Raw genomic sequence first — 16,832 nt, 5'->3', positions numbered from 1 at the left:
AGATTCTAGATATTTTCTAGTTATAAAAAGAATAGTATGACAGGAAGTAAAAGGAGGAAATATAAAATGGTTTTATAATTCCTGTCAGTACATAGCTCATATAATAAATGTTGGAATGCATGTGTTAGAATTCCATCATCTATTCATACATACAAAATATATAGTTTGCCTAGACCAACCCTTTCCCCTCACATTCTAAAAAGATAATATTTATTTATATAAGCCACAGTATGTGTACCTCTGCTTAGTTGAAAAGAGAGGTTAAATATAAAGAATGGATAAATATGGGGAATTCCTTATAATAATAAATGGATATAGAGGGCTATCTTTTTTGAAACAATAAGTAAAATACTAAGGCAGTTTTATTTCACTTTTAATAAATAAATTTCATCTGATCTAGTCAGTTTTATTTCATTTATAAAATACTTAAGAGAAAGGTAATGTGAAATTATTTTATTTTTGTGGTATTATTTTAATTGCACTCAAATTATTTTAGTTTCACTTGAACAATGAGAATGCTTTATTTCAATATCATTTTAAAACTCAGCATTGTTGACATCATACTATTGTTTTCCTCCTCTTTTTTTTGACTTATTAGTGTCCAGTTTGTAGACTGATAAAGCCCTCATTTTTTAATGTCAAACGTAGGTAATTTCAAAATAAACAATGAAATCTGGTTTCTTATTCAAGCATGTTTTTCCTTCCCTTTATATGATTTTCTTTTCTTTGTATACAACCAGTGTTCATGAAAGGAAAGGAGAAATAGAAAAGAATATTTGTCAATATGGCTTAGGAAAATCTCAAGAGACTGGACTCTCTGTAATGGTGCTAACCATTTTAGAACATTGGAAGTTATAAAAAGAAGCAAGAGAGAGAGAGCGAGGACTGACACAGCTTATGCCTCTTATATCAATTATTCCCTAGTGAACTGGCAATAACAACTCACAATATGCCACAAACTATGGCAACCCAGCTGTTTCAGAACAACTAATGTGAATTTTATGGATAATGATTAGATTCATTTTCTGCTAAGGAAAGTAGAGTCCAAAAGTGTGTACTTAACAAAATATATCTAGGAGGATGCATTTCAAGTTTGTGGTTGAAACTAATGAGACACATAGCATGTTGTCGTTGGTTCTGCTTGCTTTCTATAAGTAAATAACACTTTAGATAATTCCAAGGAAACCAGTTCTTCTATAAACAGTAGCATAAATTGCCTTATGAAGGATCATTCATTGATAGTATACTACTAAAGCTTAATTGATACTATTCTTTACATGGAAAAGTCAAGGCCAAAGATTTTCTCTTAAATGACATTTTCTGTGAGCTAAAGTTATCTTTAAGCTTTAGAGATAAATTGAATTAGAAAATAATTCCTCAGAGGCATGCTGACTGTTCTTAGAGACAGACACCAGCATGGTCATAGCTGTTGTTAACATGTTAAAGTACTTCCATAATAGTGAGTAGCTGCTGCCCTAGGCTAGTCTCACGTCTCCACCCTCCTCTGTTGTCCTGCAGCCCCTCAGCCACTTTACAGCTTCCCGAATTCCAGCAAAGGGCCAATACATGTAATCTCATTCTAGCACAGGGCCAATGCCTGTCATCTCCTGGGGCATTCAGGTTCCTGCTTCAGGCTGTAGCCCATATGGATTCTGATTGGTCAGCATGTGCTGAGCTCATTTCCAATATTTTGAATATAACCCTTTTGTACACCTTTTATGAATGATTTCTTTGGAACTCAAACTCAAGGTAATTTCTTAAGTACTGTTGATATTCTTATACAATCTTTGAGACAGATGCTTAACTAAGAGAACGTCTTTCTCTCATTAATATTCATGACCCAGCATGGAAGCTCATACCTATAATTCCAGGGCTTTGGGAAGCTGGAGGCAGAAGGATTGCTTGAGGCCAGGAATTTGACACCAGCCTAGGCAACATAGTGAGACCCTGTCTCTACACATTTTTTTAAAAAAATTAGCCAGGCATGGTGGTACACACCTGTAGTCCCAGCTACTAGAGAGGCTGAGGTGGGAGGATTGCCTGAACCTGGGAGGTTGAGGCTGCAGTGAGCAATAATCATGTCACTGCTCTCCAACCTGGGCCACAGAGTGAGATTCTATGTCAAATATATATATATATTCTTATACAATCTTTGATGCAAATGATTACTATTAATATTATTAATTAATCAGAAAGGACTCCAGTAGCATTTTGGTGTTTGTTTCAGGTCTTTTTGGCTAAGTGACTTTTTAATGAACTATTAGAAAGTTATACATAGAGGCTTGGATACTTGTCAGAGAGAAAAATGAAAGATAAATCTTGTTCAGAGGCTCCTGATGACTTGAAAGATTAAATGAGTTTTCTTGTTTATTAGGGTCTGAGAAACCTGTATCCAACTAAGAACACGAGAAAAAGTTAATAAAAGCTTTTTTCCTATGGGAAACAGAGTGGATACAGACTCTTCCTCTTCGTATACAGAACCTGACCTGCTCATAATAGCTTCCCCTGATCTTTTACCTTCTCAGGCTATGGTATGTGCATGCCTTTGTTCTGCGCCCTTATTAACAAGCGCTTGTTTATCTCCACATAGCCCATTGTGTTGTAACGATCTGCTGTTCCTGCTTCATATTCCTCTGTCTATTTCTTCAGTGCTCAGGAGAGTTCGTGGCACTCGGAAAACTTTCCTTGAATGAGGAGAGAGAGACTAAAAGCAATGATTTCTACCAAACATATTAAGTAACAGCACTGGCCATACCATGCTGTTACTTAGTAGCAGTCTCCTCAAGTGTGTGAGCAACTCCTCTCACAGTGGACTTAGGTGCACCCGTTGGTCTTGTGGACTAGGACCAGGCATTGAACCACAATAGAGGTGTGCGAGGTATGAGTTGGGCAGCAGCATGGGGGCTACCATTACTGCGACTGCTGTAATGTCACCAACACCACGGCTGCTCTCTCCCTTTCCCTGAAGTGATTGAAGATAGGCTTCCACAATCTCCACAGGCATTCTATATAGGTTTCTATAATCTATTATCTTTGAAAAATGTCATATGTGAGAGTCACCTCTTGGAGAATCATTATGCTTGCAACAATCAAGCATTCTTGGAGAATCATAATGTTCCTCATTAAGAATTCTGAAAAAGGAGGCCAGGTGCGGTGGCTCACGCCTGTAATCCCAGCACTTTGGGTGGCTCAGGCGGGCGGATCATGAGGTCAGGAGATCGAGACCATACTGACTAACACAGTGAAACCCCACCTCTACTAAAAATACAAAAAAATTAGCCGGGCGTTGTGGCGGGTGCCTGTAGTCCCAGCCACTTGGGAACTTGGGAGGCTGAGGCAGGAGAATGGCGTGAACCCGGGAGGCGGAGCTTGCAGTGAGCCAAGACGAGAGGGCGCCACTGCATTCCAGCCTGGGCGACAGAGCAAGGCTCTGTCTCCAAAAAAAAAAAAAAAAAAAGAATTCTGAAAAAGGAATCTATCCAGGTTTGGGTAACCCAGTATTTTCCAACTTTTATATGAACACAGACTATTTTTATTTCAAGAAAGACCTACTTCCATCTCCACAGATAAAATGCTTTGCTAAAATTTGAGCAGGCAAAACTCACTGAATTTTGGCACTATTATTTGTAAAATTTTAGGCAAGTTATGGGACTTTATGTTACACACGTCCGTGTGAAGAGATCACCAAACAGGCTTTGTGTGAGCAATAAAGCTTTTTAATCACCTGGGTGCAGGAGGACTGAGTCCAAAAAAGGAGTCAGCAAAGGGATGTAGGGGTGGGGCAGTTTTATGATTTGGGTAGGTAGTGGAAAATTACAATTAAAGGGGGTTGTCCTCTTGTTGGCAGGGGCGGGAGTCACAAGGTGCTTGTTGGGGGAGCTCCTGAGATTCATTGTCCAGGAGAACGAATGTCACAAGGTCAATTGATCAGTTAGGGCAGGGCAGGAACAAATCACAATGGTGGAATGTCATCAGTTAAGGCAGGAACTAGCTATTTTCACTTCCTTTGTGGTTCTTCAGTTGCTTCAGGCCATCTGGATGTATAGGTGCAGGTCACAGGGGATCTGATGGCTTAGTTTGGGCTCAGAAGCCTGACATTTTACTCTTTCTGAGTCTCATTTTCTTCCTTTATAAAATTGAATAATAATGCTTTTCCACAGGGCCATTATAAGGATTGAATGAACACCATATAATTTATAATCAGTGTATGGGCTAGCATTTAGTAAATACTCAATGGACATGAATTTCCTACCATTCCCTCAGATTCCCTCATACCTGTTTTTGTTCTGTCATCCTCTTTTTGAGCTAACTTTACAGGATTTATTAAAACCAGAATCTAATGGAAAAAAGACTTTCTCAGTAAGAGCTGCCTAGTTACTGTCTTCTTGCTTCTTGTCTGGCACAGGTGGGAAACATTTCTTGGAGGCCTGATTTTTTCTAACCAGTTTATACAAATGACAACTGCGGTCCCATCCACTCCAATCTGTGGATTTGGTGAACATGAACATCTATCCTTTAAGCATGACATGAATTTTGTTAAATATGGAATGTTTTCCAGAGCTCACTCACCAACGGTAATATGTGAGTATAGATTGTTAATACTAGAAGTTTGTTTATGGAAAGAAGCAGGTACCATGAATTATAATGAATTTCTATAAGAGCCTATAAATATAAATAAGATTTACTCTATTAATAGAGTATGCATGTTATTTACTCTGTAACTATAAATATGACTTACTCTCAGAAATCATATCAGTTTATACTTAGTCATAAAGACAAGTTCAAAATTTTACATCCACTCAAGTTTTCACTAGTTGCCTTTAACTTCAGAAGAGAAATTATACATTTTTGGCGGGTCATTAATTGCTACAGTGTCTCTTTTAGTAAAATAATAAAATGATACTAAACTATCAGAAAACATAGTATTTCTTTTTGCTGTTGCAGCCATTTAGCAATCTCTATGGAGTTCATCCTTTATATAATTGCATAGAGAATGATTTTAATGCTCATGGTGTTCTTCTCCTGAATTCCAATGCCCAAGGTAATGTGATTGTCTGGTTAAATTATAAAGAAGCAAATGCACAATTTAAATGCTAATTTTGTCTTTTCTCCTTTAAAAATGCTTATTAATTAGAAGCAAATCGAGTGAGCGATTGTCTACAATTTAACATTTTGGTTTCAAAATGAAAATTTTTTTAATGAAAGATATACATTCATTCTAATATATTGCAAAATACCATTAAGACACATAACACTAAAGACATGTAACTGGAGAAATCAGAAGCCACTTGAACAATCAGTGTTAGAAATTTCATGGTAATGTAATGTCTACGGCTCTGCCTTATCATCTCAACAAGATAAACATTGCCAAGGCCACATTTCTGCATTAAATTAGGCTAGAAATATTTGAAATGCCTTGCTTCTGCAGTGGCTTTCCTTAATTGTGTGCTTGGGTTTAAACTAACTCCCTTTCTCGCTGGCGCGCGCGTGCGTGTGTGTGTGTGTGTGTGTGTGTGTGTGTGTGTAGTAGGGGTGGAAAAATTCCACCTCCATTCTCTTAATGCTCCCAGCTTGGTTTGATAATTAGATTGGCCTAAGATAGAGTAATGAGAGAAAAGTATACAGATTTATTTGACACATGTTTTATGTAGCATGGAAACCCTCATAAATAAATAAAGACCTGAAGAAGCAGTTAGAGTCAGATACTTAAATACTGAATTGGACAAAGAATAGCAAATTGTGAAGAAAGCAATTAAATTATTTGGGGAGGCTTAAAGGACAAGAGTTATTTTAACAAAGTCTGCACAGTATTTTCTTAGTCTCAACATTCTGTCCTTGGTGATGAGAATGTTGCATCTTTCTAGCATAGGGTGGGTATCTTTCACATGGGGATTCCAACCTTTTAAGAAACAGGAAAAAGGTCAGAGTGATCTTTTTGCACCTGCTCTTTTTCAAGTGCCCTTAACTTAAATTGTCAATACACCAGAATGGCATATTTTAACCCCTTCAGTGCATAAGTGCAGTAAGTAACTGACTTGATGAACTCTTTGAAAAGTAAAATTGTGAACACGTGGAACCGGGAAATCCAGGCACACACTTACAGGTTATTACAGCTATGAATAGGGCCTGATATAATTAGGCAGCCAGCCTAGGTAGCATACCAATGTTAGAAACATTAATAGTAATCTTTGCACTTATTTTATTGGTGCTTATTTTGTACTTTGCTTTATTCTCCTCAGAAACCACTCTTAGCCCATATCCTTCTTTAACATTCCGGACTATTGGAGGAATTCTTGACTTCAACATGTTTCTGGACCCCACTCCTGAAAATGTCCAGCAATACACAGAGATGAGTACAGTACTGTAAGTAATGCTCACGTTCCCATTGCCCTTGTTCTCATGAGGGAGAAGCAATTCGTGAGTCTATAAATTAACCATCCTTCAGCCCTCTAATCTCAAGGTTAATTGTGCCTACATTAAGGCCAAAACTCCTGACTTGATTGTAACTTTATTAAATAAGGGTTTTAAATCCTGTTGGAATAATTTAGCCAGAATTTACCTGAAATAAAATTATACCTTCAAAAAGTATTCTAGACTTCTAGACTGAAGTATTTTTTCCCCTCTAGTCACAGCCACAAATCTCAGTTTTATTACTTCTGGTCTGTCATGTTCTGTGGCACTTGACAATTCTCCCAAAAGGATTCAAATCCCAGCCAGTCAGTTCAGTGAGGCCCATCAGAACTGGGTTTTGAAGAGTCAATGTTTGGAGGAAAACCTTCTGATAGGAAGGAATTCATGGAAAATGCAGTGGTGACCGTGGTTTATTCTCTGCGCTCTTCTCTTTTCCTACCCAATTCCTAGGTGTTTCCTTAGGGAGCCTCCCCTACCCTGTACCCCTCCTGTTCATCTATCAAGCATTCTATACACAGATAGTACCCAAAATATGCTGCTAGTGTAGTGTTCATCCCCCATCAAATCATCATTCCATAAATGATCTCTTGTTTCTGGGGTGAGTTAGTCAAATACCAAAATTCACAGGGATTTTTGCTGTTCAAAATAAGACACTTGGAGACTCAAATGAAAAACTCTCTAACAAAAATTATTACAGGCTTTATTCTAGGTGGGTGAGAAAGGAGAAGAAATGTTTTGGGCCAGTGGCAGGCCTCGGCAGAGCTATTAAATAATAATTACTAGAATGACTTTTGTTAGATTCTCACTGAATCTGACTTGTCAGAATTTTGTCATCAAAACATAATGCCAAGGCCTGGTGCGGTGGTGCACCCCAGCTCTTTGGGAGGCCAAGGCTGGTGGATAACCTGAGGCCAGGAGTTCAAGACCAGGCTGGACAACATGGTGAAACCCCATCTCTACTAAAAATACAAAATTAGCCAGGTGTGATGGTGCACACCTGTAATTCCATCTACTCAGAGGCTGAGGCAGGAGAATCGCTTGAACCCCAGGAGGTGGAGGTTGCAGCGAGCCGAGATCGCACCATTGCACTCCAGCCTGGGCAACACGGGTGAAACTTTGTCTCAAAAAACCAAAACCAAAAACAAAACAAAAACATAATGCCAAAAGCCTCTGTTATGATAATCATGGGAAGAGGAAAACAACATTTCCTAATGGGAGATTTCTTAGTTCTCTTAGACACTAGAGAATGATGACTGATGAAGATTACTGAGCTGAGCTAGAAACAAGGCCTACATCAAATCCTGTGGCTTCCAGGGGTTCTATAATGGGTGTATTGTCTCACCTCCCCAAAGTCTACAGAAGCTTCTACACAGGATTTAGAAAAGATAGAACTGAGAGCGGGGACATGAGGAGGTTGCAGAGAGGGCTAGAAAAAGGAGTGACCGCCGTCCTCCTGAATCTTGTTGCTTTCTGGGTCAATCCTTCCTGTTCCTTGTCTACTGCTGACATCTACTGCAGGGGAATAGGGGACTGGGTGTCCCCACCCTTCCAGCACCTCTGCCTAGGACAGGCTTGTTTGATTCTAAAATCCTTTAGAATAGCCAGCAAGAGTGGTGACAGAGGTCAAGCAAAAGTTACTCCCATTTACCTTGTCCTTCAGGTAATCTTCACTGTCCTGAAGAACTGATCCAAAGCTGGCAACTTAAAAGAAATAAATTGTTTCTTATTTTCATCTTGTTGTTGATAATACAAACTTCTCTTAGCTCCTTTAGTATTTCAGGGGAGATGATGAGCTGGTTCTATACATCTGAATAATTGGGATTTCAAGTAAGAATATGGGTACTAGGTGACCTGGGTTTCACTCCTGTCTCTTCCCCTCATCTGTTGTGTGATCTCAGACAAGTTACTTAACTTTCTGGTACCTCTCATTTTCTCATTTGTAAAATGGGAATAATTATAGCACTTATCTCATAAGGTTGCTGTGATAATTAAATGAGATAATAAACTTAAAATGCATTTAAATCACCCTTTAAGCTGCAATGAATTCTGTGCTATGGGCACTTTTCTTATCTCAATGGACCTTTATTTTTATTTATTTATTTATTTTTAGACGGAGTTACAGTCTTGGTGCCCAGGCTGGAGTGCAATGGTGCAATCTCGGCTCACTGCAACCTTGGCCTCCCTGGTTCAAGGAATTCTCCTCCCTCAGCCTCCCAAGTAGCTGGGATTACAGGCATGTGCCAACATGCCTGGCTAATTTTGTATTTTAAGTAGAGGTGGGGTTTATCCATGTTGGTCAGGCTGGTCTCGAACTCCAGACCTCAGGTGATCCACCCATCTTGGCCTCCCAAATGCTAGGATTATAGGCATGAGCCACCGTGTCTGGCCTCTCAATGGACCTTTCTATGGCTTGGTGACTACCCTGTCCTTGAATACTTCTTGCTAGGCTTTTGGAACAGTATTTCCTTGTTCTCTTCCAGTCCCTCTGGCTTCTTTTTCCTAATCTCCCAACAGATGTTTTACTCTCCCCATAAATGTTGGTATTCCTCAGAGTTCTGTATTCTTTTCAAAAAGGGCAGCTATCGGGGAACCTACCCCGACAGTCATGTAGGTTCTTTTCTGTTTTCCCTAAGCATCAGCCAGTTTGAGAAATAAAGGGACAGAGTACAAAAGAGAGAAATTTTAAAGCTTGGTGTCCAGGGGAGACATCACATGTCGGTAGGTTCCGTGATGCCCCACAAGCTGCAAAACCAGCAAGTTTTTATTAGGGATTTTCAAAAGTGGAGGGAGTGTACGAATAGGGTGTAGGTCACAAAGATTACGTACTTCACAAGGTAATAGAATATCACAAGGCAAATGGAAGCAGGGCAAGATCACAGGACCACAGGACCGGGGCAAAATTAAAATTGCTAATGAAGTTTCGGGCACCACTGTCATTGATAACATCTTATCAGGAGACAGGGTTTTGAGAGCAACCAGTCTGACCAAAATTTATTAGGCAGGAATTTCCTCTTCCTAATAAGCCTGGGAGTGCTATGGGAGACTGGGGTTTATTTCACCCCTACAGCCTCGACCATGGAAGACGGCCACACCCAAGGGGACCATCTATAGACCCACCCTCAGGGGCTTATTCTCTTTCCCAGGGATGTTCCTTGCTGAGAAAAAGAATTCAGTGATATTTCTCCCATTTGCTTTTTAAAGAAGAGAAATATGGCTCTGTTCCACCCGGCTCACCGGTGGTCAGAGTTTAAGGTTATCTCTCTTGTTCCCTAAACATTGCTGTTATCCTGTTTTTTTCAAGGTGCCCAGATTTCATATTGTTCAAACACACATGCTCTACAATTCATGCAGTTAACACAATTATCACAGGGTCCTGAGGCAACATACATCCTCCTCAGCTGATGGGATTAAGAGATTAAAGTAAAGACAGGCATAGGAAATCACAAGGGTATTGATTGGGGAAGTGATAAGTGTCCATGAAATCTTCACAATTTATGTTTAGAGATTGCAATAAAGACAGGCATAAGAAATTATAAAAGTATTAATTTGGGGAACTAATAAATGTCCATGAAATTGTCACAATCCACGTTCTTCTGCCATGGCTTCAGCCAGTCCCTCCATTTGGGGTCCCTGACTCCCTGCAATAGGCAGCTACCCAGCAATGTTATCTATACTTATGACATCTGCTACTATGCATGCACTGATGAATCACATGTCTCTCCATCCAACCAAAACTTTTATTGGAATGCCTGCATTTTTTTAATGTCTATTGAAAAGTGTATATTTTGGGTACCACAAGCACCACAACATATTCTGTAAAAATATAATCATCTTTACCTAAACTCCATAGCAACTAGATCTTCCTGTTGTCATTATCTTCTAATTGAATAAAATCATCAGGAACCCAGATATCCAAGCTAGAAGGATAAAATATCTTCTTTTCAACCCTTCATTCACTATAGCCCAGAGATAGAATCCATTTCTTTATTTCATTTCCAGCACTCTTGAGAAGGTTTCATCGTATCTCCTTGGACTGTTTTAATAGCTGGGAACTGTCTTTCCTGCCCCCTATTTGGTTTCCCTACAAACTGTCCTTCACATTTTTGCCAGAAGGATAGTTGTAAAATGCAAATCCCACATTTTCACTACTCTGTTAAAACATATAACTCTAAAGCAGCATTGTCAAGTAGAAATATAATTCTAGCCACATATGTAATTTTAAATTTTTCAGTAATCAGTTAAAAAAAGTAAAGACAGGTGAAATTCATGTTAATAATACAGTATATTTTACTTAGCTCAATATATCTAAAACGTTATCATTTCAACACGCAATCAGTAAAAAAAAAAAGAGGTATTTTACAATTTTTTTTGTAGTAAGCTTTTGAAATCTGGTGTGTATTACTTTACATTTATAGCACATCTTAATTTGGTTTAGCCACATTTTAAGTACTCATTGCCACATGTGGATCGTACCTCCCATACTGGTCTGCACAGGACTAATACATAAAAGGTCCAAATTCGTTTGTCTGGTTTATGAGGGTCCTTGATTATCTGCTTCCATTCCTCATTTTCAGCACCATCTCCAATCAACTTCTCAACAAACTCTAAGTCCTAGCTCTGCTGAAATTTTTCAAGATCTACTAAGTTCTTAGCATCTATGCTTTCGCCAATATTATCCTCCCCTTTACTTGGAAGAGTGCCCCATCTTCTCTACTTGGTGACTTGATTGTTCTTTACACCACTTTCTCTGCAAAGTTTTTCCAAGTCCCTACTACTGAAGACCCAGATGCCCACTCTTCTTGTACATGTCCCAGTTCATATATGGTGTGAATGGAAGTTTTGTTTTGTCCCATGCATTCCTGGTTCTACTTTCCAACTTGTCACAGGTGAATATGAGTCCTGCCTCTGATTCTACAAAATCAGATATTGTGAAATGTATCATCGGTTGGCATAAGGTGACATATTTGAATCATTTTTTATTTCCTTACCTTAACCCACAGGCTGAGCAATTTATTTTTATTATTTTGACTATAATTTACAAGCCTACTTTAAAAATGTAAACATTCAAAGCCTCTTGAAATTATATTATACATAGTTGTTTTTTATTTCTTTTGTAACACTAAACAGTCAACAGAATTAACCTTGGGAAAAGTATGAATAATTTTAATAATTAACTTGCTGATCATTCTTTAGTTTTTTTTTTATTTTTCAGCCATACTCAAATGACTTATAATCAAGTTCTTAGCATAACAGGACTTTAAAAAAATCTTCATTTATTATTATTTAAAAGAACATCTACATTTCTAAATAAGCATGCCCTTTGTGAATATTCTGGCTTGTTTATAATGAGGTTAGAAAATAGTTTTCTAAATATGTTTATGTTTAATTTCATACGTACTATGGGAATTTGTTCTCCAGTAACAGTGTCAAATGATATAAAAACACATCCCCAAAGTCCCCTGCATTTAGCAGAAACAACCACTTTTTTTTTTTTTTGAGATGGAGTCTCACCCTGTCGCCCAGGCTGGAGTGCAGTGGCGCGACCCCGGCTCACTGCAAGCTCCGCCTCCCGGGTTCACACCATTCTCCTGCCTCAGCCTCCCAAGTAGCTGAGACTACAGGCACCTGGCACCACGCCTGGCTAGTTTTTTGTATTTTTAGTAGAGAAGGGGTTTCACCGAGTTAGCCAGGATGGTCTTGATCTCCCGACCTCGTGATCCGCCCGCCTTGGCCTCCCAAAGTGCTGGGATTACTGGCGTGAGCCACTGTGCCCGGCTGGAAACAAGCACTTTTAACAGCTTTGCAAATATTCCTTCAGACATTTACTATGAATTTACACACATGTATTTGTATTTTTCCCTTCTGTATAAATGGAATCATGCTAGAACTACTTTTGCGTGATGAATTTTTAATTTATTTCTGTGTGGGAGATCTTTCCAACATCAGTATGTACAGATCTATGTCATTCTTTTAAAAAGCAAGTGACATTTAAGTTGATTTCAATGTTTCACTGTCATAAAGAATGTCGTAACAAACATCCTTATTCAAATGTCTTTGGGCATGTGTGTGTTTTTGTAGGATACATTGTTATAGGTGAAATGAATGAGTCAATAAATGAGTTAAGAATAGTCCTGTTTGAAATTTTGATAGATATTCCTAATGCTGTCTTTCAGAAAAAACAAAAAGACTACTAATTCTATTAATTTCCACTAGAGTAGAAAGGATGAGAACTAGACCTGAAGGTAGTGTAATTTGTTGGTGGCAAGGGTGCTGGGTCAGGCATCTGCAGAACTGGTTCCTATTCTCCTTTCTGATGGTCTGCTTAGCTCTGTGACATGGCACTTAACCTTTCTGTCTTCCTGGGTCCTCTAACATGCTACCTCTAAAAAATGCTAACGTAATAGAAGCATTTTGTAGCCTTGGTTTTCAAGCATGTAGCAGAATTTAACACGCTTAATATGCAGTTTATGAAGGCTGCATTTCTAAATCAATCTGATAAATCTTCTGCTTGCTGAAATTCCTTTAGAATGGAACCAAACTCAAAAAAGCTAAGACCTTCAAGACCCACTCACATTCTCGGGAGCCAGCACTGCATTTGGTGCTTTGTTGCCCGAATGCTACTTTGACTCAGAGACCAGCTTTTGACTGGGTGTCTAAGGCCAGTAGGGATTCCAGGCAGGCAGCAGACAATCAGTTAGAAAGCCAGAAGAGGTGAGGTAGAAGGCCAAGGCATGGCAGAAATCCACTTGACAAGTATTCTGGTGAAAATGCTATGTTGCCAGACTTACCTGTTTCTCAGTATTCACAGGTAAAGAGTTCCCGATAAAAGAGTTTTATTTCCCAAGCCTGTGCCAGAATAGCCGTCAACCTGTGACTTAACTTTTTTTTTTTTTAACCAACATTACTGTTATCACTGTAAGTGTTTAGCTTAAATACAAGTATACTATGAGGTGGTGGAGGTAAAATCAACTGCAAGGCAAAACCTGATTCCAGGTTTTGCTGAACAGTGAGAAAGTGATTAGAGGGACAACTATATATACCAATTTTCTTTCTCCCTTTCAAATACTCATTTCAAAGTGGAAAAAAAAATGAAAGGATGTTCAAACCAGAATTCTGAAACTGAGAGGAAAATTACCAAGCAGTGGCAGTCTAGGCTATTTGACTCTTCAGTGTTGCTGCACATTGTGTTTTCCTGGTTTTGAAAGCAATTGGGGGGATGGAGGCTGGGTGGAAGTGGGATAGGGGAGGGCAGTATAGTTAGAGAACCAGTATTCCAAGTTCTGTGCCATCCAATATGGCAGCCCCTAGCCCCATGTGGCCATTGAACACTTAAAATGTGCCCAGATTGCTTTGAGACATGCTCAAAGACTTAGCACAAAAACAAAAAGTAATATCAATAATTAATATATTATTATCATATTTTATGTTATATATTATACCTTAATTCAATATTACATTAATGATACTATTATTAATGTTATATTAAAGACACTGATAGCAATTAAATACTATTTTATCTGGATTACATGTGAGAATGATAATATTTTTGGATCTGTTGAGTTAAAATATATTACTAACAAATAAATGATTTCTTTTTACTTTTTAAAATGTGATACTAGAAAATTTTAAATTATATATGTGTTTCGTATTTATGGCTTGCATTGTGTTTCTGTTGGACAGTACTATATATTATCAGCTTAGGCTGATTCCTGATGATGCTTGTGCATTCACACACTAGGAAGAATTAGGATACTGATTAGAAGGGAGGAAGATCTGCCTCAGGTTTAAAGTTTCTGTGGGGGCAATTTTTATTTTTTATGACCATAGAAAATTTTGCCCATAAGATGTTGTGAACCCATAAAATCTAAGACAGGTCTCAGTTAATTTAGAAAGTTTATTTTGCCAAGGATGAGGACACGTGTGTGACACAGCCTCAGGAAGTCCTGACGACATGTGCCCAAGGTGGTCCGGGCACATCTTTGGTTTTACACATTTTAGGGAGACCATGAGACATCAATCAATATATGTAAGAGGTACATTGGTTTGGTCTGAAAAGGCGGAACAACTTGAAGCAAAGGCAGGAAGACTCCAAGTCGGGAGGGAGTTTCCAGGTCACAGATAGGTGAGACACAGACAGTTACATTTTTTGAGTTTCCGATTAGCCTCTCCAAGGGAGGCAATCAGATATGCACTTATGTCAGTGAGCAGAGGGATAACTTTGAATAGAATGGGAGGCAGGTTTGCCCTAAGCAGTTTCCAGCTTGAGTTTTCCTTAGTGATATATATGCAAATAACTACACCATTTTATATCAAGGATTTGAGCATCTTGTGGATTTTGGTATCCACAGGGAGGACCAATCCACAGCGAGGAACAAATTCCCCTTGAATACTAAGGAACAATTGTATACACAACCTACACGGATTATACTTTGAGAATATTTTAATTAAGTTTTAGTTCTTCAGACATGTAGCATTGAATCTTGACTAACTTAGGAGCAGTTTCCTTGGTTGAAGTTTTTATAAGCAAAGCTCTTGGAAATATACATTTAAAAAACCTTCAGATAACTGGGATGCTAATGTATTCTAGGAGCTTCTAAAATCTAAATTGCAAAAGTTATTCTTTATTCTAAAGCTACATTGGCCTCAAGTAAAATGACATTTTTCTTTTGTACAACACCAACCAGTGGCTTAATTTTTTAACCTTTAGTTAAGAATTTGTGTAGTTAGGCCGGGCGCAGTGGCTTATGCCTGTAATCCCAGCACTTTGGGAGGCCGAGGCGAGTGGATCACCTGAGGTCAGGAGTTCTAGACCAGCCTGGCCAACATGGTAAAACCCCGTCTCTACTAAAAATACAAAAATCAGCCAGGCATGGTGGCGCATGCCTGTAATCCCAGCTACTTGGGGGGCTGAGGCAGGAGAATCACTTGAACCCAGGAGGCAGAGGCTGCAGTGAGCTGAGATCGCGCCACCGCACTCCAGCCTGGGGGACAAGAAAGAGACTACGTCTCCAAAAAAAAATTTGCATAGTTATTTGCACCATATTAGTATTCTTTTCACCTTTGTGGACAAAGCCATTAAACAATTTTAAGGAAAGAATTCCCTCTTCTGTAAGTTTTGAGATCTTTATGTTAGGTTTACACTCTTTAAGTGTATATAATAACTCAAACATCAGATATTTAGTGTATTGCCTGTGTAGTGTTCTAATTTGGGCATAATTTCAGAATATTATTTCATTTATTTGATTAACTTTGAGTCTGTCTAGTTATCAGTCTCTAGATCACAAGATATTTGGTTACTGTAGTTTTAACTCTCAACATTGGTTCTGTACAGCCAGATGGCAGGGGCTTCCTGATATTTTGTTACAATTTGAATTTGAAATAAGGTTTTATCTCTTATAAACACAACCATTTATAATAATTTGTTGAAAGAGAGCACTTCAGTTGATAAGTCATTGCTCAGAAACCACATAAGCACAGAAACAAAGGGGACTTAGATAGGAGGGCTTTTTTTTTTTTTCTTTTTCTTCTTTTTTTTTTGAGATGGAGTTTCACTCTTGTTGTCCAGACTGGAGTGCAGTGGCACGATCTCAGCTCACTGCAACCTCTGCCTCCTGGGTTCAAGCGATTCTCTTGCCTCAGCTTTCTGAGTAGCTGGGATTACAGGCATGCGCCACCGCACCCGGCTAATTTTTTGTATTTTTAGTAGAGATGGGGTTTCACCATATTGGCCAGGCTGGTCTTAAATTCCTGACTTCAGATGATCCGCCCTTCTCGGCCTCCCAAAGTGCTGGGATTACAGGCATAAGCCACCTTGCCAGGCCAACAGGCTTTTAAAAATAACCCAGATCTTATTTCCTACAATGTAAAGTCCTTTCAGTTTAATAGCATATTTTGTTCGCCCCTACAAGCTCCTTCAGGAGATGGATCAACCCATCTTTGCAGAGGCTCTGAAAATCCTCCTACGTAATTCTTTCTGTTTCTTGCTAGATGGTTCACACAGTTATTTTTGGACTCAGCAAATCAAATTATTGGTTTAGTAAAGCCCTACAGCTAAGGCCAGTTATTTTATCAAATGGGGCTTTTTGCAGTTCAGCCTGTCACCTGATCAACACAAACACATGTGATGTTTTTGTTAGAGCCCATTTTAATTCACTGCTCCTTTCAAGACTATACAAAGAATGGCCAGTAGTTTTCTGGGCACAACTCAAATGCCTATGGGACTGGAGTGCTAAAATAAACAAATAGAGTGGGTAGTAGAGACTGTGGCAAATTGGAGAGTAAATATTCCTCCCAAGAATGAGAGGATGGAATGGGGCCGCGAAGAAAGTGTTCCTGAATGGGATTCTCTGTTCGTTATTTTTACTATCCTTTGAGGCATGTAGGTTCCTCATTCCTTCTGAATGTCCCCGGTCACCTGAAAC

General features: G+C 38.8%; 1 long non-coding RNA gene across 1 annotated transcript, besides 1 other annotated feature; it reads left to right on the top strand.

The window, feature by feature from the left end:
- Positions 1,201–2,138: an enhancer, noted in NCBI's record as "OCT4-NANOG hESC enhancer chr12:39456016-39456953 (GRCh37/hg19 assembly coordinates)". NCBI's record gives its function as "activates a minimal SCP1, AML or CMV promoter by ChIP-STARR-seq in naive H9 embryonic stem cells {active_cell/tissue: H9 hESC(naive)}" and the evidence as "EXISTENCE:reporter gene assay evidence [ECO:0000049][PMID:30033119]".
- LOC107984484 (uncharacterized) lies at positions 4,424–6,351 on the top strand. The gene is made up of 3 exons (XR_001749078.1): positions 4,424–4,581; positions 4,945–5,041; positions 6,240–6,351. It is a non-coding gene; the product is annotated as an uncharacterized LOC107984484 (long non-coding RNA).
- Positions 6,352–16,832: the final 10,481 nt, after the last annotated feature.

This window comes from Homo sapiens, chromosome 12 (assembly GCF_000001405.40).
Source record: "Homo sapiens chromosome 12, GRCh38.p14 Primary Assembly".
Lineage (NCBI taxonomy): Eukaryota > Metazoa > Chordata > Mammalia > Primates > Hominidae > Homo > Homo sapiens.
This window is presented reverse-complemented; position numbering and strand designations above follow the sequence as displayed.